Genomic DNA, 27,408 nt, shown 5'->3' with positions numbered 1-27,408 from the left:
TGTTTCTACAGGATCTGTGTTAGAGAATGTAATTTTTGTTTCTAATGGATAATGCCCTTACGATTTATCCTTTTGGATGGACATCACTTACAGATATAAAGTTTAATAAATGTTATGATGCTACCCTTATTTTTTACTTTCTTATTTTTTTGGGTCTAGCTTAAAAAAAAATCCTTGAGCCGTAGTTTGCAAAGCCAAACAGAAATTGGGCATGTATGAGCCTGGTGTTTGTATTTTAAACAGAATATCTTTTACTTAAAAGCTTACTTTAAAAATGCTCAGTGAGTATATCTCATCTGTAAAATGATGATGGTAATAATAGAGGGGGCAAGCCAAGTGAAATTAATCAGTGATCTCATCCTAGAACAGGTGATTTTTTTTCCGGTTGCGTACATATATTTTACATTAAATATGCTTTAAATATTGTGTCATAACATACATTCAGTAAGGTGTACAGAGTGTACAGTTTAATGAATTTTTATGTGTGTATGCACCCAGATAACCATCACCCACATCAAGATATTACAGCCACTTGTGTGTGTGTGTATATGTGTGGTAAAAATACATAAAACTCACCATATTAACCGTTTTAAGTGTACAGTTCAGTGTTAGTATTTAGTGTTAAGTATATTCACATTGTGTGAAACAGAGCTCTAGAATTTATTTACCTGGCAAAATTGAAACTAAAAATATGAATGATTCACTAAATATTTGTATGTCATGCTTGTACAAGGGCCATGCTAATCTCTGCATTGTTTCAGTTTTAGTCTGTGTGCTACCAAAGCAAGCACAGGTATCTTTAAATTATCCTTTCTCTTATTATTTTTATTTTCATATTTTTTGCAATGACTATGGAGGTCTGATTTTCCAGTTTGCCTTGTGAACAGTGGAGTCCATGAATGTATTTGCTGAGTCTTATGGGCATTTAAAATTGTTCTCATTTTTATGGCAGTCTAAACAAATTAACAAAATTGTTTCTGGATCATATGTATGGTCACTTTGTAAAGCCACAAGATTTTGGTGCCTGCATTTGTGTTTCAGATTGTATTGGTGACAAGTTGTACTATTTTCATGAACTAATAAGAAAATAACAGCAATGAATTTAATGCATTAGTGCCAAGTGAATGCCAAATTACCTTCATTAAATGAACATTTCACAATAGTAGAAACATAATATAACTGGCTTATACCATCCTCATGTTGAAAGTGGCCATTTTGTATCTTTAATGTTATCCCTATCAGATTAATGTTCACTTGAAATTTATGTTTAAATTTTATTTAAACTGGTACATTTTCTTTGGTTTTATGTTGTATATGGTTAAAAAGTTTCAAGTGTTTAGGTAAGAGTAAGATAAGTTCACACGGGAAGTTGAGGGGAGTAATCTGTCTGCAAACTATGACTAAATTTTGCAAAACATGACGAGACATTAAGACTAAAGATTAAAACATAAGTTTTGTAGTTTAGAAGACATTTATTGGACCTCATTTTTTAAAATAAAAACTTCAGTCTTTTATTATTTAAAAAAACTTCCAAATTAAAATTTCTTTATCTCAGTAATACATTTCTAAGAAATAAAGGATGACATACTGTGGATAGTGATATACTTTTCCCAGCTTTGCTTATGCTTCACATTAATTTAGAAGGATATGTTTATACCTGTTATAATAATTATATTTTCTCTACAAAAATTAGCTGGGCATGATGGCATGTGCCTATAGTCCCAGCTACTTGGGAGGCCTAGGTGGGAGGATCACTTGAGCCTGGGAGGCAGAGGCTGCAGTGAGCTGAGATGATCCTACTGCATGCCAGCCTGGGACAGAGTGGGACCCTGTCTAAAAAAAAAAAAAATTATTTTATCTATACTTAGCCACATTATTTCAATAACAGAGGGCAAAAAAATTACTATTTTCTAGTTTGCTGGTTTTGTAGAATTTTGAAAAAATATTTTTGAAACTTTATTGAAAATCATCTGTGCAAAATTTTCGGACCTTACTGTTTTTATACATAGTTTCACAACTGAATGTGACAGCATAACAAACTGTATTTTTTCCATTTGTCCAATTAAGTCTGTACTATCCATATTTTTCTATTTCTCCTAAAGGATGAAGACCTACAAGAGATGGAAAATTTAGCCCAAAGAATGGAAACTCAGTTTGGCCAATTTTTTGATCATGTGATTGTGAATGACAGCTTGCACGATGCATGTGCCCAGTTGTTGTCTGCCATACAGAAGGCTCAGGAGGAGCCTCAGTGGGTACCAGCAACATGGATTTCCTCAGATACTGAGTCTCAATGAGACTTCTTGTTTAATGCTGGAGTTTTAACACTGTACCCTTGATACAGCGATCCATAGTTGCAATCTAAAACAACAGTATTTGACCCATTTTAATGTGTACAACTTTAAAAGTGCAGCAATTTATTAATTAATCTTATTTGAAAAAAATTTTTATTGTATGGTTATGTGGTTACCTATTTTAACTTAATTTTTTTTCCTTTACCTCATATGCAGCTGTGGTAGAAATATGAATAATGTTAAGTCACTGAGTATGAGAACCTTTCGCAGATTTCACATGATCTTTTTAAGATTTAAATAAAGAGCTTTCCTAAATAAAATAAGCAATAGTTAACTTTAGAAACTGTACTCTATGAAACGTGTTTTATGAAAACATCTTTTACAAAAAGTGCTTACTTGACTAACTCAGCAAGAAAGGTTTAATGTACACATTTCACATCTAAAATCAAAACCTACAAGAAACTGCACTGCCTTCACTATTTACAAATCGGCCTACAAGGAAAAAATTATTCTCATGAGAGGTGTGACAAACACTAATTTTCCTTAACAGCCAATATCTACATGCAGGCCTAAATTAGAAAAAGGCAATGGATTAATCCCAGAGACCTATATATAGAAAATCACAAGAGTGAAACCGTGTCTCAGAGTTAAAGAAACCAGGGACTAACAGAAATTCTTGAGCATGCAGGACGGCAGATAAAAAACAACTTGCTAAATAAAACGCCTAAACTTCTTCCATTGTGAGATTAAAAAACAAAACAAAACAAAACAAAGCAAACTGGCTGAAAGTGGTTAGTACTAACACGGATGGCTACCTGGAGTCTGTACAAAATGAGCTTGCTGGCGTCACAGCTTGAATCTTTCCCCATGTTTCACACTGACTCCCTCCAAAATTTGCACATGCGACCCATGAAGGGACATGAAGAGGTAACTGCGAACGCCAGAGGATTTTCCAGATGGCTTCTTTCCTTCCACCAATCACCTACTAATCCCAGAATCCACCCCCTAAACGTTTTCTAATAAAAATACTGTCTTAAAGCCAACACAGGGAGACAGATTAGAGCTATACTCCTGTCTCCTTGTTAGCTGACTCACAATGAAAACTTTTCTCAAAAAATCAGCGCCATAATATTGGCTTCTGTGCGTATAGGGCAACAAGCCCCGTTTGTTTGGTAACAAGATTAGGATGCCATTACAAAGTGCTGTTTCTCTTTCTTTCCCCAGATTTGAGATTTCCAGGCGCTTTCCCTGTCCCTGTATCTGTTCATCTTCTGCATCATTCTCTTCTCCATATCCACACCATTCTTCCATCTTTCCCATTTCTTTCTTAACTGTAAAACAGAATGCATGATTCAAAATATTTGTAGTTCTCTGTTACTTAAAGTGAAAGTTATCTTTAAAAAAAAACAAACCCAACCAAACCAAACGATGCAAATCAGGTAGTTTGTAGTGATATTTATGTGAGGTTGGATTTGATTTTAAGGTTGAGAAAAAGTTTTTCCAAATTTGATTTACACAGTTGTGGGATGAAGGGTAAGCAATCGGAGAAAATGTGAGAATTGCCTATATTAATACACATCCACACACCCAGGCCTGCACAGACTCGTTGGTCCTGGAGAGTAAACGCATTCCTCCCAAACCCAGCAGCGCCTGGCAGGACAGAGGCGGGCGGGGACCTGGCTCAGGGGGCGGCTGCCTCGCCAGGCGCCACGAAGCCCCGGCGTCCCACAGGTCCCGGAGGCCGCTGCGTCGCGGGGAGCTGGGCTCGGGCCGCCGGCGGTTGCGCCGGGGCAGCCCCGCGGGGAGAGCACCATGAGGACTGACTCGGGGGCTCGGCTGGAGGAGGGCCACCTGGTGAGCGGCGAGGGGCGCGTCGGCCTCGAGAGGTGGCGGGTAAACAGCTACACTTGGCAGTGGGGGTGGGTGTGTGTGGGGGGGCGCCAACGAGCTGGGAATCACTAAGGGAGGGCCTTGCTCGTGGGGTGCGCGCATCCGCCCCTCCAGTGTTCACAGGAATGGGACGGAGACGCAGGCGAGGCCGGGACCGAACTCCCGGAGTGGGAGAGAGAGGCCTGGCATGAAGTTTGCGGGGACCTGAGCCCGCGTTGCCACGACGACGCCTCACTCATCTGAGGCCCGGGGCCCGGCGGGTGCCGGGGCTTCCAGCCAGGCCTCTCCTAGACTCCTCCGAGGAGAGGTCTGTAGCTGCCCAGAAGAGATCTGTTCGCCTGCGGAGTCCTTTAATTAAGGTCTTCCGTCACGCCCCGCTTCCCGCAAACAAATCACCGCCACCACTTAGGAAACCACGGGAAAGCTGTGATTGCAGCGCCACGGTCGCCAGATTTCTGCTCCTGGGCACATTACCCCCAACTCCGAGGCCCCCTTTTTGGCAGGGCTAGTCTGGACTGGCCAATCCAGGTCCCTGCACGCCTCTCACCGCAACATCCCCGCAGGGCGCTGCGCGCGGGGTACTAGCCAGGCGGCGCGGCCCGATGACGCATTGCGCCTGCGCGCGCGACCGAGCCGGGAGGGGTGGGGCGCCAGGTGCTTGGGGGCCGGCGGCCGCCGAGGCCGGCTAAACGCAGAATGGGGAAGAATCCTGTGGTAAGCGAGCCTTAGCTACTTTTAATTGTTAGGATTTTTGTCTTCAGTTGAGCCGTCCTACTTTTGAGGATTAGAGGTTGGGTCTCTGGGTGGGTGGAACGTCATTTTTGCGGGACTTTTGAAATCAGTTACGTGAACAGAGCCCTGGGATCGATCGCGCGCGCTTCGTAGCATCTTTAGAACAATAGCGCGTTCCTGTGACTGTCATTCTTCTCCAATTGTAATTTTGACTACTGGATGGTATTACGGCAGCTTGCCTCGTCCTAATCTTGTAGTACTTGCATTAATCTACTGTTCGAACGAATGGATTGCTAAATGGGACAAACTACAAGAGTGTCTAAAATTTAACCCTTTTGAATAAATGTCTTATGCAAGCAGCATGAGATACTTGGAACATTAAATTGGCTTCTAGGCATTTCTGTTACTATATGATTCTAAAATACTTCTCAACTGTAATGCTGTCTGAACTACAAACACTTTTCTTATTCATGTAAATGAGGGTTTAGAAGGGTTCCCCCCACCTTTCTTTCTGCCCTAAAACGCATTCTTCCCAGTGTATGCAACTGGCCTTTTTAAAAATTGTGTTAGTATGTGGTTTAAAACCTCCATTTGTTTCCCATTGAATTAAAACAAAATCCAAACTTCCCTTGGTCTGCAAGGCCCTAACTAATCTGGCTCCTGCCTACCTCTCCTTGGTAATTGTGCGGCAGCCTTGCTGTCCTTTTACCTGAAACATTCCAAGCCCAATTTAACCTAAAAATATTTGCATTTGTTCCGGTTGCTGCTTTCTCATTCAGGTCTCAGCTCAAACTCAGAGAAACTTTCCCTAACAAAAGTAGCACTCAGTCTCCTTCATTCATTACGTTTTGTGTGTGTGTATCTTGTGTATATATATATATATGCACACACGATATGTATACAAGATATGTCTTAAATATAGCATATAAATATATTTTATCGTACATGCTGCATATAATATATAGTATATATTATCATATATATATTTTTAACATTGTTTCTAATACTCAACCACTAGAATGTAAGTTTCATAAGAGCAGAGTTCTCTCCATTGTGTTCATTAGTGTATTCCTAATGCTTAGAAAAGGGCCTGGCCTAGAGATGGAAAGGAATGTAGGAAGGAAGGAATTTTATATGAAATTTAGGATGGGAGAACAAATTTTAAATTGCCCATGTTTCTCATCAGTACCTCCCAGGTTTCACTGATGAACAAGATTATCAAGAGATTTGAAGATCCTAGTCTGATCCATTATATTTTTCTGTCATGTCTGAACAACAGACTTTTGAAAGAATTGCTTTGGCCGGGCGTAGTGGCTCACTCCTATAATCCCACCACTTTCAGAGGCCAAGGTGGGCGGATTTCCTGAGGTCAGGAGTTCAAGACCAGCCTGGCCAACATGGTGAAACCCCGTCTCTACTAAAAATACAAAAATTAGCCGGGCATGGTGGTGGGTGCCTGTAATCCCAGCTACTTGGGAGGCTGAGGCAGGGGAATTGCTTGAACCCAGGAGATGGAAGCTGCAGTGAGCCAAGATCGTGCCGTTGCACTCCAGCCTGGGCCACACAGCAATACACCATCTCAAAAAAAAAAAAATAGCGTGATGGTATTTGAAGTAAAGATGCTCTAGGCTTTTACTTACAAGCAAATTTATTTTTTCCGCCACAGCGTCCTCCACGAGCTCTTCCACCTGTGCCAAGGTAAAAATAATTTACAGTAATTTCATTATTGAGCTTTAAAAATGGAAAATGAAGACAGTGGAAAAATTGACTAGTATCATTGCAAAATTACAATGATTCAGGAAACTCTTCTGAAAAATTTAGGGATTTTCTGAAATTTTAAAGGTGAAAAATCCTTGAATTTTAAGAATAACAGTTATAATGGAATGTTATATTTAAAAGCCTGAATATCAACATGGTAGGATAATGGATCCATTCCCTTTCTAACTGTTTTGGTGTCTTTTTTTTTTTAAATCAGAATTCTGGTCTTTTGTGAGAATAGTTTCCTCAGAGTTTAAGCTGATTTTAATCAGTCACAAGTAAGAGTTCTTAATCTGCTTAATCCATTTTATTAATAGACAGTAGGGAATATGTATATGTAGGTTCAGAAAATATTGACATTATTTTATTAGCAGTGTTATTAAACCACTTAATTATAAACAGTAAACTAGTTTGTAAACTAGCTATTATGTGAAAGCTAATTTTATTTTAAATTTGTAATGATTTAAGTCAATTTTCACTGTGAATATTAACAGGTTTCTAATTAATTGTTTCTTTTTTGTCTTTGTCCTGCTGATTAAATTTGTTTGGTGTTATATGACGTGTTAGTCAAGGTGAGTTAGTTTAATGTAAATATAATATTTGGTGTTCAAAAATTAGTTTGATTCCTTGGTTTGTTTCTCTTAAAACTGAGTCTGAATGGTGTAATTTGTAATTCTACAATATGTTTTTGTGAAATAATCTCCCATGACTACCATTTAAAAATTGTCATTGATACATAGCACTAGATGACCTTTCCATTATAAAAGCACTTCATCCCTGAATGGGGTCACCCAGCACATAACTGTTGGCTAATTTGTAGCTCTATAATGAGGACTGCACCTTCCTTTGTCTCATTTAGTCAGGGTAGACAAGGTTATACTATACTAAAACCCCCAAATCTCAGTGACTTAGTGTCACACAGGGTTATTTCTAATTAATACAAAGTCTGCTATGGCAAAAATGGGGGACCATTACCTTTCACTACCTTTTTACTATTGATATAGCAATCTAGGCTACTTTTTTTTTTCTTTTGTTTTGAGACAGAGTCTCACTCTGTTGCCCAGGCTGGAGTGCAGTGGTGTGATCTCGGCTCACTGCAATCTCTGCCTCCTGGGTTCAAGTCATTCTCCTGCCTCAGCCTCCTGAGTAGTTGGGATTACAGGCGTGTGCCACCATGCCCAGCTACTTTTTGTATTTTCAGTAGAGACAGGGTTTTGCCATGTTGGCCAGGCTGGTGTCGAACTCCTGAGCTCAAGTGATCTGCCTGTCTTGGCCTCCCAAAGTGTTGGGATTACAGGTGTGAGCCACTGCGCCTGGTCTGCAATCTAGGCTACTTCTGTGCTGTGGTCCCACCATCTTAACATGAGGCTTCCTCAGTCACCACAACAAGGGAAGAGAAAGCTGGAAGATTACTCACTGGCTCTTTCAACGTTTGGCTCTGAAATGACACAGATCACTTCTGCTCACAGCCTATAGGCCAGAACCAGTCATAGACTACACCTATGTGCAAGGAGGCTGGGAAATATAGGGGATCAGATGAATATTTGTTGAACCCACTTTCTGTGTCATGGTTTCTAACATTACTGACATGCAGTGTGCTACTGGTACCACACTGTGGGCTCTCTCTGATCTTCTCAATTTCTTGCCTTCTTCCCCTAATCTATAAACGTTTGCCAGGCCCAGGGAAGAGAGGGAGAATTCTTCCCTGTTTAAAAGTTCTCTTCTGACTGTTCTCTGCATTGAATTTTAGGCACCCTTTTCTGTTGACGTTTTTTCTTGCTTTATAGATGATATTCCACTTAGTCGTCCTAAGAAAAAGAAGCCCAGAACAAAAAACACACCAGGTAAGACGTTATTCTTTGTTGTGTGGGATCACAAGTTTTCCCAGGACCTCAGGCGTAGTAAACATCACAGATAAGGGAGAATTAAGGCCCCAGCAGCCCCGAATCTCCACTTCATTGAGGATAGAATTAAGGCCAGTTTGAAGCAGTGGAATTCCTGGTGGTGGTGAGGTACAGGGCAGTGGGCAGCCTGAGGAGTATCTGGACGCATTCATGGAATAGAAGGTGGTGCCATCTAAGCTCCTATTTCCATGATATTCCTGGACTCTTTAAGGTCTTTTATCCCCAGACAACATACATGGTTTTAAGCTATGATTGATTCCAGACCCTTGAACAAGATACTGAATTTAGAAACACAGAGTTCTTAAATCTCACTTCAATCAGAATATCTCTACATTACAGCATGAGTCTGAAGGCATGGCCACATCATCATTTAAATAGTAAAGCTTCAGTCATGAGCAGAACTCGTTTTTGTCTTAGTCATCCACTGATAATCCTGGAAGTTGCATCCGTAACTCTAAACTCAGCACATCTAGAATCCATCGTTGCCTTTAAGAATAAATAATTTTTTTACGTCTCATGATTTTCTGTTAATGGAACCTACCATTTTCCCAGCCCTCAGGCCTGAAACCTCAAGATTATCTTTACCTGATCCTTTAACTTCACTCTTTACTTGAGACCTCTCACACTCCTAAAAGGTTTCTGTGGTTGCTGCTCCTTTTTTAAAACAAACAAACAACAACAAAAACATAAAAGGAATCATACATACTATCTTTGTTTCTTAATACATAGAGTTCTATGTATTCTTAAACAGTGACTTCATTGTATTACATGATAAGAATGTACCATAATCACTGCTCTGTTATTTATTTAGGTTATTTCCAATTTTTCACTCCAACAATGTTGCAGTTCTGCATAAAATAGTGGGTGGTAGGGAAGAAGTACTTCTGTAGGATGGATTGCTAGCAGTGGAATTGCTAGGTGCAGGATGTGTGCATTATTAGTATGACTGACTCTGCTAAATTACCTTAAGGAAGCTTTAGTTATTATCTTGCTACCTGTAGAGTCTGAGAGTGTCTCATTCTCTAAATCCTTAACAACATTGGACAATAATCAATCTTTAAAATTTTTTTGTTAATTTAGTGGGGGAAAAGTAGCTTATTTTAGTTTACATTTCTCTATGTACTACTGAGGTTAAACATTTTCATTTGTTTATTGATACATTTCTATTTTTTTTTTTTTTTTTTGAGACGGAGTCTTGCTCTGTTGCCCAGGCTGGAGTGCAATGGTGTGATCTTGGCTCCCTGCAACCTCCACCTCCTGGGTTCAAGCGATTCTCCTGCCTCGGCCTCCTTGAGTAGCTGGGACTACAGGCGCATGCCACTACACCCGGCTAATTTTTGTATTTTTAGTAGAGAGGGAGTTTTGCCATGTTGGTCAGGCTGGTTTCGAACTCTTGACCTCATGTGATCCGCCTGCTTTGGCCTCCCAAAGTGCTGGGATTCCAGGCATGAGCCACTGCACCCAGTGCAATTTCTATTTCTTTTGTGAAGAAGACAAGCAAGGAAGGGAATGCAGTCAGGTATGTGTTAAAATTCTTTTAAAAGATTTCATGAGGGAAGAAGTTGAAGTGAATGACCAAATGAAGAGACTTATAAATTACCTGCTAACTCCAATTATCCATGATGACTTTATTATTCTTTAACTTATTAATGAAGGACTTTACTATATAGAGGCTGATGAAAATTCTTAAGGCAAGAGGCAAGTAAGAGAATTCTCTATGGTATCAGTTTTTATTATGTTTTCCACCTTTTTCAAAGTTCTAAATGTTCTGAAGCAATTTCTCCTCCTCCTGTCTTTTGCTCTTCTTTTTAGCCCCCTCGTTTTTTCTTCCTCAGCCTTTCTTATTCCTTCATTTATTTCTTTTCCTAACTTAAAGCCCAAAGTTACAGGTGAGGAGGAAGGAAAGATTTGGGGGATAATTAGTTCTGAAAGAGATGGGGTTATTCTATAGGAAACATTCTAGTTACCTTTTCCTCCATCTTTTTAAGATTCAGTGATCTTTGCTCAAGTAATCTCATTTTTTTCTACTCTGTTTTTCTATAGCAAGTGCTTCTTTGGAAGGCCTTGCTCAGACTGCTGGTCGAAGGCCCTCTGAGGGCAATGAGCCATCAACTAAAGAACTCAAAGAGCACCCAGAGGCTCCTGTTCAAAGAAGACAGAAAAAGACAAGGCTACCTCTTGGTATGTGAAGAAACCAAGGTTAAGTTGTGATAGCACTTGTGATTTTGATGACATGATAAAAACCTCTCTGCTTTCATTTCTTTCCCCCTATCCATATCCCACAGGTGGTTTCTTGCTTTTATGTTTAAAATATTTACCACTAGAATAACTCCAATGGCTTAAGCCAAGAATACTTTACAGGTCTCTTTTGATCATATATGTATAGATTATGAGAGGAGGGCAACAAATACAGGACTAAACAGAAAGTTCAGATCTCAGTGCATAGAAAAATCTAGTAAATGATGAAATGGACATTTCAGATTAGTGGGGAAATGGTAGATTCTGTACTAACAATAATATAGTGAAACAACAGCTAACATTTGTTTAGTCTTTCTATGTCCCAGGCAGTTCACAAGGTAAATAAAATACTATACCATTTTTTGGCCTATCAAATTGGCAATGCTTTTTTCAAATTATAAAATCCAATATTGATGGGAAATGGGTGCACTCATGCTTTGCTCATAGGAGCATAGATACAGCCTGTCTGGATTTCTGGGAATAGTAGTAAATTCAATAGCTGCAGTAATTAAAGGATGTTAACTGCAGCGTTATTTATAAGAGTAGAAATTGGTAATGACCCAGATATTTAACGGTGTGATACTGGCTAAATAAATCATACTTCATCCATAAATAGGAACCAGGTACCCATTAAAAGGATTGTTAGGGTGACACAGATAATCATCAGTTGTGTATTATTAAATCAAAGAACAAAGGTTATAAAATAGTATGTATTGGAGGATCCCATTTTTGTAAAATATACTATGTTAATTTCTTAGGGTTGCCATAACAAATTACCACAAACTGTGTGACTTCAAACAACAGTTTATTTTTTCATAGTTCTTAGGTGAGAAGTCCAAAATCAAGTTGTCTGCAGGACTATGCTCCCTCTGAAGTCTCTAGAAAAGAATCCTTCCTTGTTTCTTCGAGCCTCTTTTTTTTTTTTTTTAAGATGGAGTTTCACTCTTATAGCCCAGGCTGGAGTGCAATGGTGCGATCTCAGCTCACTGGAACTTCTGCCTCCCGGGTACAAGCGATTCTCCTGCCTCGGCCTCCTGAGTAGCTGGGATTACAGGCATTTGCCATGATGCTCGGCTAATTTTGTATTTTTTAGTAGAGACAGGGTTTTGCCATGTTGGCCAGGCTTGTCTTGAACTCCTGACCTCAGGTGATCCGCCCACCTCGGCCTCCCAAAGTGCTGGGATTACAGGTGTGAGCCACCGCGCCTGGCCATTTCTTCTAGCTTCTTATGGTTGTTGACAGTCCTTGGCATTGTTTGACTTGTGGTGGCATAATGCCAATCTCTGCTTCCATCTTCACATTTTTCCTTGTGTGTCTGTGTCCACATTTCCCTCTTATAAGGATATCAGTTGTTGGATTTAGGGCCCATTCCAATCTAGCATGACCTCATCTTAACTTGATTTCATCTGCAAAGACTCTTGTTTCCAAATAAGGTTACACTCACAGGTATTATGAGTTAGGACTTGAACATATCTCTTTTTGGAGCACAGTTCAACCCAGAACGTAAATATGTACATACATCTACATAGTAAAAAGAATGGAAGAATATAGCAGTGTTACAGTGGTAGAAGTTTTAGAAGGAGGAAGTATGATTTTTAAAATTTTCTTCCTTCATTTATTTTACTAATTTTTTATATTTTGAGCATTATGACTTTTATAATAATTAGAAAAATGACAAAGAGTTGTATTGGAGCAAAACTCAGGGAAGGAACAAAGATGGGGAGATTAGTGCTCTCCTATTAACATCAGCCCTTATTAATAATTTATTATAATTTTCCTAATTACTTGTCCTTCTAGAAAACGGCGTGTCTTGATTGGATGGAAGAATTATAGGAGTAGAAGGGCAGGAACTAGAAAAGTCAGGAGAATGGAGCATAATTTTGGAAGGCAAGTTGAAGTGGGATGCCACAGTGCCTGGGGGCACTGAGGGTCTATGAGAACGAAGGGGCGGATGATGGCAGAAGAAGGAAAAGAGACAGAAATGGTGCTCAGACTAGCTTTAACTACTCTACAGTTTATTTCATTAGTGGCAGTAAATGTAGTTTCATTAAAAGTGCCCTTTTAGTAATTTAGTTAAGATACAAGTTTAAAAATCAAGATGGATACCAATACCTAGTTTTATAATTTGTGAAAAGTGTGTTTACAGAAATGACTTTTTTAGAAAATTCAGGACCCAACTAAGTTTTGAATCAAAAAGGACCTGTCATTGCCATTCCAAAGTACACCAAGCCTGGCAGGTTCACCTTTCTAAGTTTCTGGATTTAAAAATTGTGTTTTTATTTATTTTGTTCAGGATGACCAATGGTAGGCTCTACTGCTTGCATTATATTTCCAGTCGAGGCTGTAAGTATTTTATTACAATAGAATTGTAAGGTCTTGAAGGTATTCCAGGGAGCTAGTATTTCCAGGTAGGAAGAGTAGCTAGTGGATTAGAAGAAGGCTTCACTGACTCATTTAAACTTAATACCTACCCTGTGTGCAGAAAAGAGTTAATATAGCAGACCTGAGACTGCTATCCTTGGAAAAGCCTGCTGATAAGATTGGCCGTTAGCTGGCATCTGGGAACTTGGATGATAAACAGCTCCCTACACTGATAGAAAACTTTCCCTAAATTATAAGGTGACTCACGGTGCATTTGTGCACACATAGTGATTTTTGCTGAACATCTGTTTCCCTTCCGGGCATCCAGAATTTTGGTATGTGCTAGGCTTATGTGACTAGCCCCTAACCTTGGGCACTGTCTCTGATGAGCTTCTTTTGTACAACATGTGTCACATGTGTTGTCACAACTCATTACTCTCCAGTAATGTTAGTACATCCTATTTGACTCCACTGATAGAGGACTCTTGGAAGCTTGTACTTGGTTTCCTCTGGACTTGGTCCATGTACTTTTTCCTTTTGCTGATTTTGCTTTATATCCATTTGCTGTAGTAAACCATAATTGTGAGTGTGATGATTTCCAAGTCCTGTGAGCCCTTCTAGAAAGTCAGCGAACCAGGAGATAATCTTGGGAATCTTCAGCACAGCCTGGGTATTGGGTTACTTAATTTTTTTCCATATTGTTTGGCATTACAATTTCAATTTTTACATTGAGAGTTTAGAAGTATAACATTTTTAAAAAATTAAAAATTTGTAAGATAGTGAAAACATTTTTGCCCAATTAAAATTCTTGAAGTTCTTTTCTCTTATACAAGTCTTGTACATTACTTTTCTTTTTATGTTTTAGTTATTTGAAAAGTTAAATTTATTTTGTTTTCAGAATTGGAGACTTCCTCCACCCAAAAGAAGTCATCTAGTTCATCTTTATTACGAAATGAAAATGGTATTGATGCGGAGCCAGCTGAGGAGGCAGTTATTCAAAAACCTCGGAGGAAGACAAAGTAGGAATTTATTTATTCTTCTAACTATTCTCCAGGATTACCCTGATGCTTTGTTTGGAGCTCCGAAGCAGTAGCTTCTCATTAAGTCTTATTACATACTTGTATTTGTGTACCTCTAGGATAAGTATTATTACAAAAAATCAGTTAAACCAATCGAATGATAAATTTCAGAAGAGTAAACCACTGAGAAAATAAAAAAAATTAAGATTGTACTTAAATAAAAAAACTTAAGAGCCATCTCTAAAAAAGAAGAACACAAATAGAATATATAAGTAGCAAAATTAAACATTAAGGATATTTAAAAATTAAAGATAATGAAATAGGCTATTGTGATTTATTTTCTTATGTTAACAGAATTCAAATTATGATTATTTTAGGAATAAGTAAAACTGGGTTTTAGCATTAAGATAAAATGAGTAGTGTACTTTAAAGAAATAACACTGGAAGTCATATATATAGCACTATTATTTGTATTTGAAAATGAACCTACAAATAGTGATCAATGTCTGTGTTAGTCCGTTCTCACACTACTAATAAAGACATACCCGAGACTGGATAATTTATAAAGGAAAGAGGTTTAATTGACTCACAGTTCAGCATGACTTGGGGGTGCCTCAGGAAACTTACTATCATGGTGGAAGGTGAAGCAAACACACCCTTCTTCACAGGGCAGCAGGAAGGAGAAGAATTAGAGCTGAGTGAAGGGGGAAGCCCCTTACAAAACGATCAGATCTCCTGAGAACTCACTATCACCAGAACAGTCCCTTGACAGGTGGGGATTATTACAATTCAAGATGAGATTTTGGGTGGGGACATAGCCAAACCTTATCAGTATCTATACAGAATCATACAGTTTTAAATTTGGAAAGAAGCTTACAGATCTAGTTCAGTCACTTCAATTTTCAAATGAGAAAACTGAAGCCCTCAGAAATGTAAGTAACTTGCTGCACATAATAGTTAATAACCGATTTATTTGAGTAAAAACCACATTTCTTAACTCCAAGTCCAGGGCCCTTTCCATTATATTTATAGCTAGTTCCTTATGTAAGTCTGTAAAAAATTCAATAATCATCTATTTTTCATACATACGTCCTTATTACAGGAAAACCCAGCCAGCAGAATTACAGTATGCCAATGAGCTAGGAGTAGAAGATGAAGACATAATCACTGATGAGCAAACTACTGTGGAACAGCAGTCTGTATTCACTGCACCCACTGGCATTAGCCAGCCTGTAGGCAAAGTATTTGTGGAAAAAAGCCGTAAGTAGATGCCTTGTTTTAGAATATGAACTCTTTAAAAATTGTCCAAGGATATCCTTTATACTTCTGGAAATCTGAATTAAGGAATTAAGCAAAACTGTGTACAACAATTTATACACAAAACTGGTCATCATGCTATGATTCATGAGAGTGAAAAACTGGAAACAACCTAAATGTGAAATAGGAGAGGAATAATGTCAGTAAGTTGTGGTGTATCTATATAATAATGTTCTTCACCATTAAACATAATGTTTAGGGAGAATTTTTCATTTTATGGAAAGATTCTGATAAAAAATGAGCATATACACATGTGCACACACACACACACAGTTTGATCTATGCATAGGACAAAAGACTTGAAGGAAATAGGCTCAAATATTAATGCTGGTTGTTTCTGGATTTATGGGGTTATGGGCAATGTAAAGATCTTCCCCACCCCTGCCTGATTCTTTATTCTTTCTTGTACTTTACCAGTTTGCTGCAATTGGTAGTAGTTGTGGTGGGACAGATAATAATATAAATTCTACAATTGACAATAAGAGAAAATACATGATGATACTACCATATTAAATAAGAAATACAACATTATAGCTGTATATTCTTTTGCAAGATAGTTGTGACATTGTATAATGTATACTAGGTTTGCAGTGTATTTTAGCTCAGGCTGCTATAACAAAATACCACCGACTAAGTGGCTTAAACCACGGACATTTATTTCTCATAGTTCCTAAAGCTAGGAAGTGCAAGACAAGGTTCCAGCAGATTAGGTTACTGGAGAAGGCCCCTTCCTGGCTTGCCGACAGCTGCCACTGTGTCGTCATGTGGCAGAGAGAGCTCTGGTGTGTCTTCTTCTTCTTAAAAGGATTATAATCTCATCATGGGAGCTTTATCCTCATGACTTCATCGAAATCTAATTACCTCCCAGTGACCTCGCACTCACTGGGGGGTTAGGGCTTCAACATATGAATTTTTGGGGGACGCATTCCGTCTATAACACAGTGTTTAAGAAAAACCTACTCAAAGCATGATCATGACTATATACTACCATGGATATGTTAAGCATATGCTGCCTAAAGAACTCATCTGAAACATAAAGGTTAGTCCTTAAAATTTACAATTTAGATTTTGTGTACCTTGTTTTAGAACCCTACTTCAGAAGATCCCATTTAAGGGATCTTGCAGTTCTTGGCCAATAAGAAACCTGTGGTCTAGAGAGGCTGACTTACCCAGTGTCTCACAGTTTGGTTAGGGTGGAACTGGGACTTGAACTGTGGTTTTATGACTTCTAGTCACATGGTTTTATTCATCTACCACGTGGTCATTTAAATTACCGCAGTTCTTTTTCAAGCAGTATCACTTAATCCTCATTTTTATTCTTGCTTCACTTAGCATAGAAATTTCCCTGCTAGAGTAACTGGCCATAAAAGGTACCAGTGGTTCTATTGTCTGCCCAGAAGTTGTCTTTTCTTAGGGAAAATTGTCACACCCCTGTCTTTCATCCTCCAAAACACCTGCGAACTGGGTTTGGTGAGGATAATTGAAATGGAACCTTTCCTGTTTCCTGAGGTCTATTTGTGGATTACTAGATATACAAGAAGGAGCCTCTGAATCAACAGTAAAAAGGCTAAAGCCCTGCTCATACAATATTGCAGTGCTGACTTTTGAACTGATGTTCTTCACAGGAATGTTCTAAAGAGAAATTTATGAAGCAGCCTATTTCTTTCCTGTCATCCCAGAAAGCCATGCTACACATCCTGACATCTTTTCCTAAGAAATTTAAAGTAGTTTTCAAATATTGACTTACCTTGATAGTATAGGCATATAAACTTTAATACTTCTAAAGTCTCTAAATTAGAATTTTGTAGACTAGGTCATGTTAAAGATTTCTAGACTTTATTCTGAGTTGAAAGTTCATTTTTTTTTATTAAATATAATTGATTTCTGAAATTGTTACTTCACTTTGGATTGAGAAGAAAATACACTGACATCGCTTATTTTTCTTCAAGATGAAAAATTATGTTTAAGGAACCCCAAGAAAAGATCCTTCTGAAATAGGTACTGAGTCAAGGAGAATTTTCAGATAGAACAGCAATATTTCAGTCTTAGTTTGCGGCTTCCTGAGTATGGAATTTAAAAAAAAAAATGGCTACCAGGGTTCTCTCTCGCTAGTTGTTAGTAATTACGTTATGTGTTCTTAGGGAGATTCCAGGCTGCTGATCGTTCAGAGTTGATAAAGACCACAGAAAACATAGATGTGTCAATGGACGTGAAGCCTTCCTGGACCACCAGAGATGTGGCACTTACAGTGCACCGGGCTTTCAGGTGGCTGCTTTTGTTGGACTTTTCTTAAAATAAATGTTAACTGAGTTCTGTAATTAAAGAAAAAAATAACCTCTTGGTTGTTCAGTATTATTAATGAAATCACAACTTAAAATGGTAGGTAGGTATATTTTTTAAACATCCTATTGGAATTGAGTGATCTACCTATCAGTGTAACTAAAAAGAAAGAGCTTGCTTTTACTTGTCATGAAATGTTGAATTTTATTCTTGTATATGAAGAGATTTTAAACATGTTTTAGCTTTTTACTTTAGTAATTCATGTATAATAATCAAACCCTTTTCCATTCAGGATGATTGGTCTCTTTTCTCATGGATTCTTGGCTGGCTGTGCTGTGTGGAATATTGTTGTGATATATGTTCTAGCAGGAGATCAGCTATCCAACCTCTCAAACCTTCTGCAACAATACAAGACCCTAGCGTATCCATTCCAGAGTCTTCTGTACTTGCTTTTGGCTCTGAGTACAATTTCAGCTTTTGACAGGTAATGCCTATGACTCCAGATCTGTCTAACTTCTTCAGGAGGAAATGCTGAGCAAAATGTGTCACTGACCATGATAGTTTTCAAAATAGAATTATAGAGTATCAATGTTACTTCAAAAAGTTTTAAGGCCAGTCTACTTCTGTTCTTTTTTGAGGGGATGAGACCATTGTAAACAAAATATTCCCAAAAGACTTCACCCATTCCAGCATCAATTCATAAGTCCAAAATTTCATCCAAATATAGTCAACTCAGAAGTTCCTAAATGTCATCTAAATCAGGTATAGGTGAAACTCAGAGCATTTGTATTTGTCTCCTAGCACTGCTGTAACAAAGTACCACACACTGGCTGGCTGAAAACAGCACATTTATTCTCTTATGGGTCTGGAGGCGAGCAGTCTGCAATCAGGATGTGGCCAGGGTTGATTCCTTTTTCCAGGGCTCTGAGGGAGAGTCTGTTTCATGACCTTCCCCTCACTTCAGTGGTTGCTGACAGTCCTTGGCATTCCTTGGCTGTAGATGCATCATTCCAATATTTGCCTCTATCGTCATGCAGCACTTTCCCCCTGTGTATCTCTGTATCTGTGTCTATTCTAATAAGGACAGCAGTCATACTGGATTAGGGTTCATCCTAATGACCTTATCTTATCTTTATTACATCTGCAAAGACCCTGCTTCCAAATAAGGTCACATTCATAAGTACTCCAGGTTAGGAGTTCAACATATCTTTTTGGGAACACAATTTAGCCCCTTTTAAAAAAAATCCACCGAGTTAGAGCCCAATGATATGGGTAATAGAAAGAGGTAGAAACTAATGAAATTTTATAGATCAAGTTTAATTTTCTTTAGGATGTTTTAACCCCAAAGGAATGTTGTCCAAAGTAGTCTAGTTAGATGTTTTATGTGGCCTTTGTAAATTAGATAATTTTGTCATGCGTGTTAAGTATACACTGTAGCTACTTAAAACCTAGTAATAGTATATGTGCTAGCATTAGACTAGAGAAGGAAAAAACTATAGTCAAGAAAGTAAAGTTTTGTTAAGTTTACAACTGCGCTGTGACAAGAAACTTTTATATTTTCTAGGATTGACTTTGCTAAAATATCAGTAGCAATCCGAAATTTTTTGGCCCTGGATCCTACAGCTTTAGCATCTTTCTGTGAGTAAGCAGTTTAACATGATAACTGTGTAATACTTCAGTTATACCATAATTTTGAACCAGGATAAATATAATTTTTTTTAAAAGTTGTATTACTGCTCCTTATAAACATTACCTATAGATGTTCAGTGAATTTGTAATTAGAAACATAAAAGGCATAATATTGATAGAATTATTTTTTCAATTGAGGTTCATCTAAATAACTTTGAAAAGCTTAATTTATTGTACTATATTACTTACTTTTTAACTTTTGTATTTTCTACTTGACATTAAACAGATTCAGCGGGTATGGCCTTTTAATAACAAACAATATTTTATATCTTTCTGATCATTTGGAATGCATTTTGTTCTAAGTTTTGAGAATATTAATAAAACTAGTTTTAGGACCTTGAGCAAGTCATTTAACTTTTAAAAAGATGTTCTAGGTTCTTGTCAGTTCTAATGATGAAATAGTGAACGTCTCAAAAGATCCTTCTGCACCTATTGTTCTCAAAAATTTATATAAGGATGTCTGGCCTATTGAAATATATTTATTTGGTCAAATAAATTTCTTTTATATCATCAGTCATGAAAGTATAGATTATTTTCGATATTAATCTATAAATTCAAAATAAACCAGGTTGTTAAAAATTATTAGTAATTTCATTTGTCTTTTTCTCAGTGTACTTTACTGCTCTTATACTATCTCTGAGTCAGCAAATGACAAGTGACAGAATCCACCTTTACACACCTTCTTCTGTTAATGGTAGCCTCTGGTAAGAATTCACAATGACATTAGCAATTGTTAATGGCAATAACAGCAACTTTTCTTATCCTTCCATTCTTTTTCAACTGCAAATAATGAAGGCTCTGTTTTTGTTTCCAAATATATGGCAAGAAAATACTTATTCCTTTGGTTAATGGGTAACTATTGTTATGTCCACCTGCATTTTTAATGAAATATCTTCCTTTTAAAAATCTGTTTTAGATCTTCAAGTTATAGTTTTTTTTTTTTTCGAGATAGAGTCTCGCTGTGTCACCCATGCTGGAGTGCAATGGCACTATCTCGGCTCACTGCAGCCACCGCCTCCTGGGTTCAAGCGATTCTGCAGTCTTAGCCTCCTGAGTAGCTGGGATTACAGGCACCCGCCATCATGCCTGGCTAATTTTTGTATTTTTGTAGAAATGGGCTTCACCATGTTGGCCAGGCTGGTCTTGAACTTCTGACCTCAGGTGATCCACCCGCCTTGGCCTCCCATATTGTTGGGATTATAGGCATGAGCCACTGCGCCCAGCCAAGTTATAGTTCTAAAATAAGTCATCATATGATGGACGGAAGGAGCCCTGCATTCTTACCCCCTGTCAGGGAGTTTCATATCCCAGAACAGTGATGGGAGTGAGTAGCTGGGATAGATTCAGAAAACCAAGCAATGCTAGAAAGAGCGGAACAGGGAGAGCCAACATCTGCAGATCAGCGGCCAGCCATGAAGCTGACAGGATGGCTGAGATTATAGTTCATAAAACTTAGAGAAGCAGTCTTTTTTTTTTTTTTTTTTTTTTTTCCCCAAATGCTGCACGTAGCATCCAAAAGTAGTCTTTTTTGAGAGAGTGGCTAGGGACATTAGGTAAAGAGAAAGCAAAGATACTTTATTGAGGATTAATGTCATGGTAGTTGGAAGGAAAACTTTTAGAGAATTTTCTTGGGAATACTAACTTTGCATTTATATGAATGTATACAGCAGATCTGTTCAGAGTTTAAATAACCTTTGAACCCTTGTTCTCATTATATATGTGGTATATTTTACAGGGAAATTATATTTTCTTTCACACTTTACTTGTTATTTCTCTAGGAGAGGACTGCTGTTTTTTCTTAAAGTTCATAAAATAGATATATTTGTGTATATGAACCAAACTGAAGGCACTTCTAATGAGTGTTTCTACATTTTTAGGGAAGCAGGAATTGAGGAACAGATTCTCCAGCCATGGATTGTGGTGAATCTCGTGGTGGCTCTTCTGGTTGGATTATCTTGGCTATTTTTGTCTTATAGGCCAGGCATGGATCTTAGTGAAGGTATTAAAGAAAAAAAATAGCATAAGAATATCCTGAAATCTTCTATAATGGTTTTATAAACCTCCTTTTAATAGGTATAGCTTATAATATTCCAATAACAAAGACACATTTAAATTAAAATGATACAAGAAGAGAGAAAATAAAGTGGTGTAACAGAATGCCAAGAGAAGCAGGGAGGAGTGTCTAGGAGGGCTTGAGTCTGGAACTACTTAATGAGGGGCTTCTGTGGCCCTTGTGCATTTTCAGGAGGTATTTCTTCTCTTGGAACCCTTCAAGTAATGTAGAAAAAGTCTTTGCTCTTCACTTCTCTTAGTCTCCTGCTGATGAATTTTGAAATAAATCATGCTTTGTCTACATAGCCTCTCTGTCGGACACATACTCAAGTCAATTATTCTTCCTTCTCTATTTGGTACAAATTCTTAACCGTTCATTGGCTAACAGTGTTTAGTACTCTTTTAACATGCTCAGTGTGCAGTGATTCACTCATCTCTAGTCCCCAGACCCCTTTTGGAACACCTGAAGAAGAATCATCATATTAGCAAACTGCTAACCTTTTATGCTGCTTGAGGAACTGTTTAGTATTTGTATTGTAAATTGTGTTTCCTTGGCCAATGTTCAACAGTTTTACCCTTGAATATCTTTTTTTTTTTATTTTTTATTTTTGGAGATGGAGTCTCGCTGTGTCGCCCAGGTCAGAGTACAGTGGCTCGATCTGGGCTCACTGCAAGCTCCGCCTCCCGGGTTCATGTCATTCTCCTGCCTCAGCCTCCCGAGTAGCTGGAACTACAGGCGCCCGCCACCACGCCCGGCTAATTTTTTGTATTTTTAATAGAGACAGGGTTTCACCATGTTAGCCAGGACAGTCTCAATCTCCTGACCTCGTGATCCGCCCGCCTCGGCCTCCCAAAGTGCTGGGATTAAGGCGTGAGCCACCGCGCCTGGCCAAACATCTTTTATGGATATTTTCTGGGTCTTGGTTATTATTTTATTTTTTATTTGACCAACTATTTACAACCTATCTGCCTCAGAAGCCTTAGCATGCAGAATTTCGCCAACATCTATGCTAAGTAATAGTTTAAATGTAGAAAATGTCAGCTAATAACATTCTACATTGTGGCTGGGATCAAAACTGCATCTGGATTGTGCAGTATTCAGTCTAAATATTTCCAGAATCCTGTTCTTTTAAGGCCATGTTAGTCATACAACATGTGGATTTAAAAAGTAAGTATAAAATGAGATGATAATACCTGGCTTCTTGCGTTGTTTTGATGATTAAATGGGATGACCCATTTAAAATATCCTGGCACACATCTCTTGTTAGTTCCAAGTCCTTCCTCTGTATCTGTCCCCTATGTTTCAGATGATCTGATCACTGTAGAATTAGACATTTTAGCTGTTTAATGATCTTTGATTCTCTAAGTGACTTAAATTTCCAGGTAGGATTGTGTATATTGTCTCTATTACATTTTACTTTTAAGGGGTCTATAATTTAAAATTTAAATATTTTAAAATGTAAAACTTGTACATTTGTTATCAGCTTACCTTTTAAATCATATTTCACTGTCAAGAAATCTTACTTGAGGGCTTTCTATTAGTATATATTATGTCAATTTTTTAAAGGACTATTTATAAATAAGCTATACAACTCTGTTGGAGGTACTGGGAAACAATTTTAAGTATGATCTGTTCATTTTCTTCTCCAGAGTTAATGTTCTCCTCAGAGGTGGAAGAATATCCTGATAAAGAGAAAGAAATCAAAGCCTCTTCATAATACCAGCTCACCTTTGGAGGAATAATGACCCAGTATTTGTCCCATTTTTGTTTTTAAATGTATTTTTATAAGATGTATACATGTGTATTTGTAATAGATTTTTTGATTATATAATACTGAAACATCTCTCAATATTATGAAAAATGTTAAAATTGTGTTTGCTGTTTATGTCTAAACATTAATTTGTCTAGCATTATCATCTTAATGACAAAGGGAATAATGAACTAGAAACCAGCAAGTGAAAGTGTTTATTTCCTATTTTCTCAAAACAGTTGTATTTATAACTATTACCTTAAAAAGCACTGGTTTAGAAAAAGCCATAACTTAAATAGTGTTATAAAATATATATCAGGTTTAAACATAAATTTAGCGAATATGGTAGAAGGGAAAAAAGCCTTCATTTTTGACCTCCCCTTACTGAATAAATTGAAATATGAAGTTTGTCTTTTCTGAAACTGGCTTAGTGATTGAGTATCATGTAATAATTATAATATAATTTAGCTTGAAAGATGCTCTACATTATGACCAATAAAAAGGGAATGTATGTTTTGTTTGAAAAATTATATAACCTAAATTTTTTACCTAGAAGTAACTAAAAAGTTGCTTCTCATTATAATCTGTACTAGTGGTTCTCATATCTGGTTGTACATCAGGATCATAGAGGGAGATTTTAAAAATCTATGTAGCAAAAGAGGCTGAGCAGGGCAAGGCTCAGGGGAATAAAGGAGAGACCTGTGAGCTTGTGGGCTCCCAGTTGACATCTGCAGTACCCTTTCCTCTGTCCCTTTTTTCTGAGTGACAAGAAATAGGAGTAGAAATTCACCATCTCTGTTCTCCAGCTCTTTGTCAGAGAGGTTTCTGGTTTTCCAGGAAATCCCCCTCTTGAGATGGGTCCTGCACTGGGAAAGATCTCTTCAGAACTATATCCAATGGTACCTCAGCTGTTGTATATGAGACCCTAAAGCTCAAGTTGAGGAGAAGACTAGCTATGGGAAAAAATGTTTCAAAGGCTGTTGAGCACATCAATAAAACTATTGAGCCTGCCCTGATTAGCAAGCACCTGAATGTTATAGAACAGAAGAGGATTGACAAATTGATGATAGAGACAGTTGACCCTGACAATAGGTCTAAATTTGGAGTGAACATTATACTGGGAATCTCTTTTGCTGTTTGTAAGGCTGGAGCTGCCGAAAAGGGATTCTCCCTGCTGTCACAGAATTGTGAATTTGCTGGCAATTCTGAAGGCATCCTGCTAGTTCCAGCTTTCACTGTGACCAGCAATGGTTCTCAATCTGGCAATAAGCTGGCAGTATAGGAGTTCATAATCTTCCCCGTCAGCAAACTTCAGGGAAGCCATGCTCGTTAGAGCCAAGGCTTAGCACACTTGAGCCGTGTCATCAAAGAGAAATGTGAGAAAGCTGCTGCCAATGTGGGGGATTGTGGTAGGCTGCATAATGTCTCCTAAAGATGTCCATGTCCTAATCCCTGGAACTTGTGAATATACTACTTTACTTGGCCAAAGGGATTTGCAGATATGATTAAGGTTATGAACCTTAAAACGGGGACATTATCCTGTATTATCCAGAAGGGTCCAGTGTAATCTTATGAGTCCTTAAAAGCAGAGAAGAAAGCCTTTTATGTCTGTGGTCAGAGAGGTCAGAAGTTATGATATTGCTGGCTTTGAAGATGGAAGAGGGGGCCATGAGCCAAGGAGAGTGATGACCTTGCAGCTGAGTACGGCCCTTGGCCAACAATGAGCAAGGAAATGGATTTCAGTCACATAACCACAAGGAACTGAGTTCTATGAGTATCCCAAATGAGCAAGGAAACAAATCCTCCCCTAGAGCCAAGAAAGGAAGGCAGCTCTGTGGATACCTTGGTTTTGGCCTGGTGCTGCCCATGTCATACTTTTGACATACAGAACTGTAAGATAGCAAGTGTATGTTGACTAAGCTGCTAAATTGGTGGTGATTGCTTATGGCAGCAATAGAAAGCTATATATCCTAGAGAATAAAGAAGGCTAGAGCTGCTGTGGAATGCACTTGGGAAAGCTGGCTACATTGATAATATGTAACTGCCATGGGCATAGTTGCCTTTGTATTCTTCCAGGTCTGGGAAGTACAACTTAGACTTCAGATCTCGTAATGACCCAGGAGGCATATAAACCTGAGCAGCTAGTGGCCCTGTACAAGTCCTTCATCAGGGAAAAACATTGAGTATTCCCTGATTAAGGACTTGTACAGAGGACTCTGTTTTCCCTGGTGTTTCTGGTGTGTCTCAAAAATTGTTTGACTGTGATGACAGGGAAGTTTGGAAGAAGTTCACTGCTAATGCATGTCTCCAGGAAGCAGGGAATGATCTCACAGTGACACTTGAGGCACATTGCTGAGGCCGTCGATGAGAATTCATGTAACTTTCTCCAGCTTACAGTGGACTAGATTGACATGCAAGCTGATCCAGTCCAATTGGTAGGGCATCATGGTTTCTCATTACTCACTGACTTAAAATACTTTTATTGCCATCCTGGTGAAGCACTGCACTGGGTAGATAACACAGGGGCACCTTGCTGATCAGAGCCCTTGGCCAGGTACAAAGAGCTCAGTTTCTAAAACTCTGTCATTTCAATAATGTTATAAATTGAATCATACAGTATGTAATTTTATGGGATTCGCTTTTTTTCTGTTGATCTCTTTTTTTCTGAGTCATCTCAGCTGTTGTGTGTATCAATAGTTCATTTCCTTTTACTGTTTTGTTTGGTTTAACTCATTGACCTATTGAAGGATATCTGGGCTCATTCCAGTCTGTGAATAATGCTGCTGTGGACATTCATGTGCAAGTTTTTGTGTGAACATTAAGTTTTCATTTCTTTAAGATAAATGCCCAGGAGTGAAACTGATGGGTTGTATGTAGTTACAAACTGCCAAGCTGTTTTCCAGAGTTGGCGGTACCATTCTAATTTCCCATGACAATTTTTTGAAGAGTCCAAGCTAGTTGCTTTAGAGTGCCTCACCTACATTTTTTAATTGTCTGACTTTTTCCTAATGACATCACTTAATTTGTTCCTCAATCTCCTGAATTTCCTATAGACTGGAGGTTAGGTCTGGTGGTTTGATTAGATTTTTTAAAAAAATATGACTTCATCTGTGATGCTGTGTACTTTATGTTGCATAACATGAACCCTAAGAACAGAGTGAGCTGCTGGACAGCAAGTTTCATGGGGTGCAGTAATTAACACACCACATAGTATAAATCTGAAATAATGACAAATGTGTTAAGGGCCTTGGGATATTGGGCCATGTACTCTGAGGAGCACAAGGTGAGGTGCAGGTTCCTGCCCCTAAAGAACTCTATCTTTTGAGATTAGCAACTAACAGTGTGAGCCCACTAATAGGATGTGAAAGTTGTCAAAATCAAGTTCTGGTCATTGTGTTAAAAATCCTAACAAATAGAGCTGGGGAAGGCCGTGAAAGGACGATTTTCATGCACAGATGTCTGATAATGAGGACTATCATTAAAAGACTGCACAAAACCACACCTTGCACAAAGGCCATCACAACCTGACACACACAAAAAATACTTCTATGAGGACATTTGCCCAGCAACTCCCTGTCCAATGTCCAACTGGCAACATCCTTGTTATTGATCCTTGTAGCCAAGGATAATTCTCTCAAAACAATCATTTTTGCTTTAAAAACCGTTGTCTTCCTTGACCTCCCTGTATATGCACATAGTTTACTGTGGCACTTGTATTCTTATTGCAATGCCTACTCCTGAATAAACATCATTTTCTTTCAGAGAGTCTCCCTCTCTGTTATTTAGGCTGACAAGGATATGCCAAGAAGTAGCTTGGATATAGCAGTTAACTCTGCCTTTAGGATATGTGTATGGGGATATAAGAGTTAACTAAAAGCTGACCTTTGAGTTGGTCCTTGAATAAAAGAAGAATAGATTCCAAAAATAAGAGGAATAAATAATGATCCTGAGCTAGGAGAGTACATTTTGCAGACCTTTGGTTTCCATATTAAGAAATTCAGATTTTTATGTACAATAAAGAAGTTCTGGAATTCTCTGGTTTTGTTCTGTTTGCATTTATTTATATTTTTAACTTTTAGGTTCAAGGGTACATGTGCAGGTTTGTTATATAGGTAAATTTTGT

At 38.2% G+C, this 27,408-nt stretch overlaps 2 protein-coding genes and 2 pseudogenes across 4 annotated transcripts in view, besides 2 other annotated features; 3 read left to right on the top strand and 1 right to left on the bottom strand.

The window, feature by feature from the left end:
* MPP4 (MAGUK p55 scaffold protein 4) overlaps positions 1–2,633 on the top strand; it is a 53,771-nt gene extending 51,138 nt beyond the window's left edge. For both annotated transcript variants that reach the window (NM_001438024.1, NM_033066.3), the window contains one exon: positions 2,103–2,633. In NM_001438024.1, coding sequence (NP_001424953.1) covers positions 2,103–2,297 — 195 coding nt within the window. In that variant the 3' untranslated portion in view covers positions 2,298–2,633. The remainder of the gene's footprint in view (positions 1–2,102) is intronic.
* RNU6-651P (RNA, U6 small nuclear 651, pseudogene) lies at positions 687–791 on the bottom strand (annotated as a pseudogene).
* Positions 3,886–4,145: a silencer, noted in NCBI's record as "silent region_12235". NCBI's record gives its function as "represses an Ori minimal core promoter by ATAC-STARR-seq in GM12878 lymphoblastoid cells {active_cell/tissue: GM12878}" and the evidence as "EXISTENCE:reporter gene assay evidence [ECO:0000049][PMID:35858748]".
* TMEM237 (transmembrane protein 237) lies at positions 4,004–27,321 on the top strand. Of its 2 annotated transcripts, none has more exons than NM_001044385.3 (13): positions 4,004–4,148; positions 6,583–6,614; positions 7,242–7,246; positions 8,462–8,518; positions 10,622–10,759; positions 14,076–14,196; positions 15,299–15,456; positions 17,655–17,778; positions 18,086–18,277; positions 19,358–19,431; positions 20,093–20,186; positions 21,360–21,481; positions 23,185–27,321. In NM_001044385.3, exons 1-13 carry the CDS (start codon positions 4,107–4,109, stop codon positions 23,250–23,252), a joined length of 1,227 nt encoding a protein of 408 aa, NP_001037850.1. In that variant the 5' UTR covers positions 4,004–4,106; the 3' UTR covers positions 23,253–27,321. The 2 variants fall into 2 exon arrangements, with proteins under 2 accessions (NP_001037850.1, NP_689601.2); NM_152388.4 differs by lacking the exon at positions 4,004–4,148 and adding an exon at positions 4,837–4,898.
* Positions 4,716–4,905: a silencer, noted in NCBI's record as "silent region_12234". NCBI's record gives its function as "represses an Ori minimal core promoter by ATAC-STARR-seq in GM12878 lymphoblastoid cells {active_cell/tissue: GM12878}" and the evidence as "EXISTENCE:reporter gene assay evidence [ECO:0000049][PMID:35858748]".
* Positions 24,252–24,690, top strand: ENO1P4 (enolase 1 pseudogene 4; annotated as a pseudogene).

The sequence above is a fragment of the Homo sapiens genome, chromosome 2 (assembly GCF_000001405.40).
Source record: "Homo sapiens chromosome 2, GRCh38.p14 Primary Assembly".
NCBI lineage: Eukaryota > Metazoa > Chordata > Mammalia > Primates > Hominidae > Homo > Homo sapiens.
The sequence above is the reverse complement of the archived record's forward strand: the minus strand, read 5'-3'. Positions and strand labels throughout refer to the sequence as shown.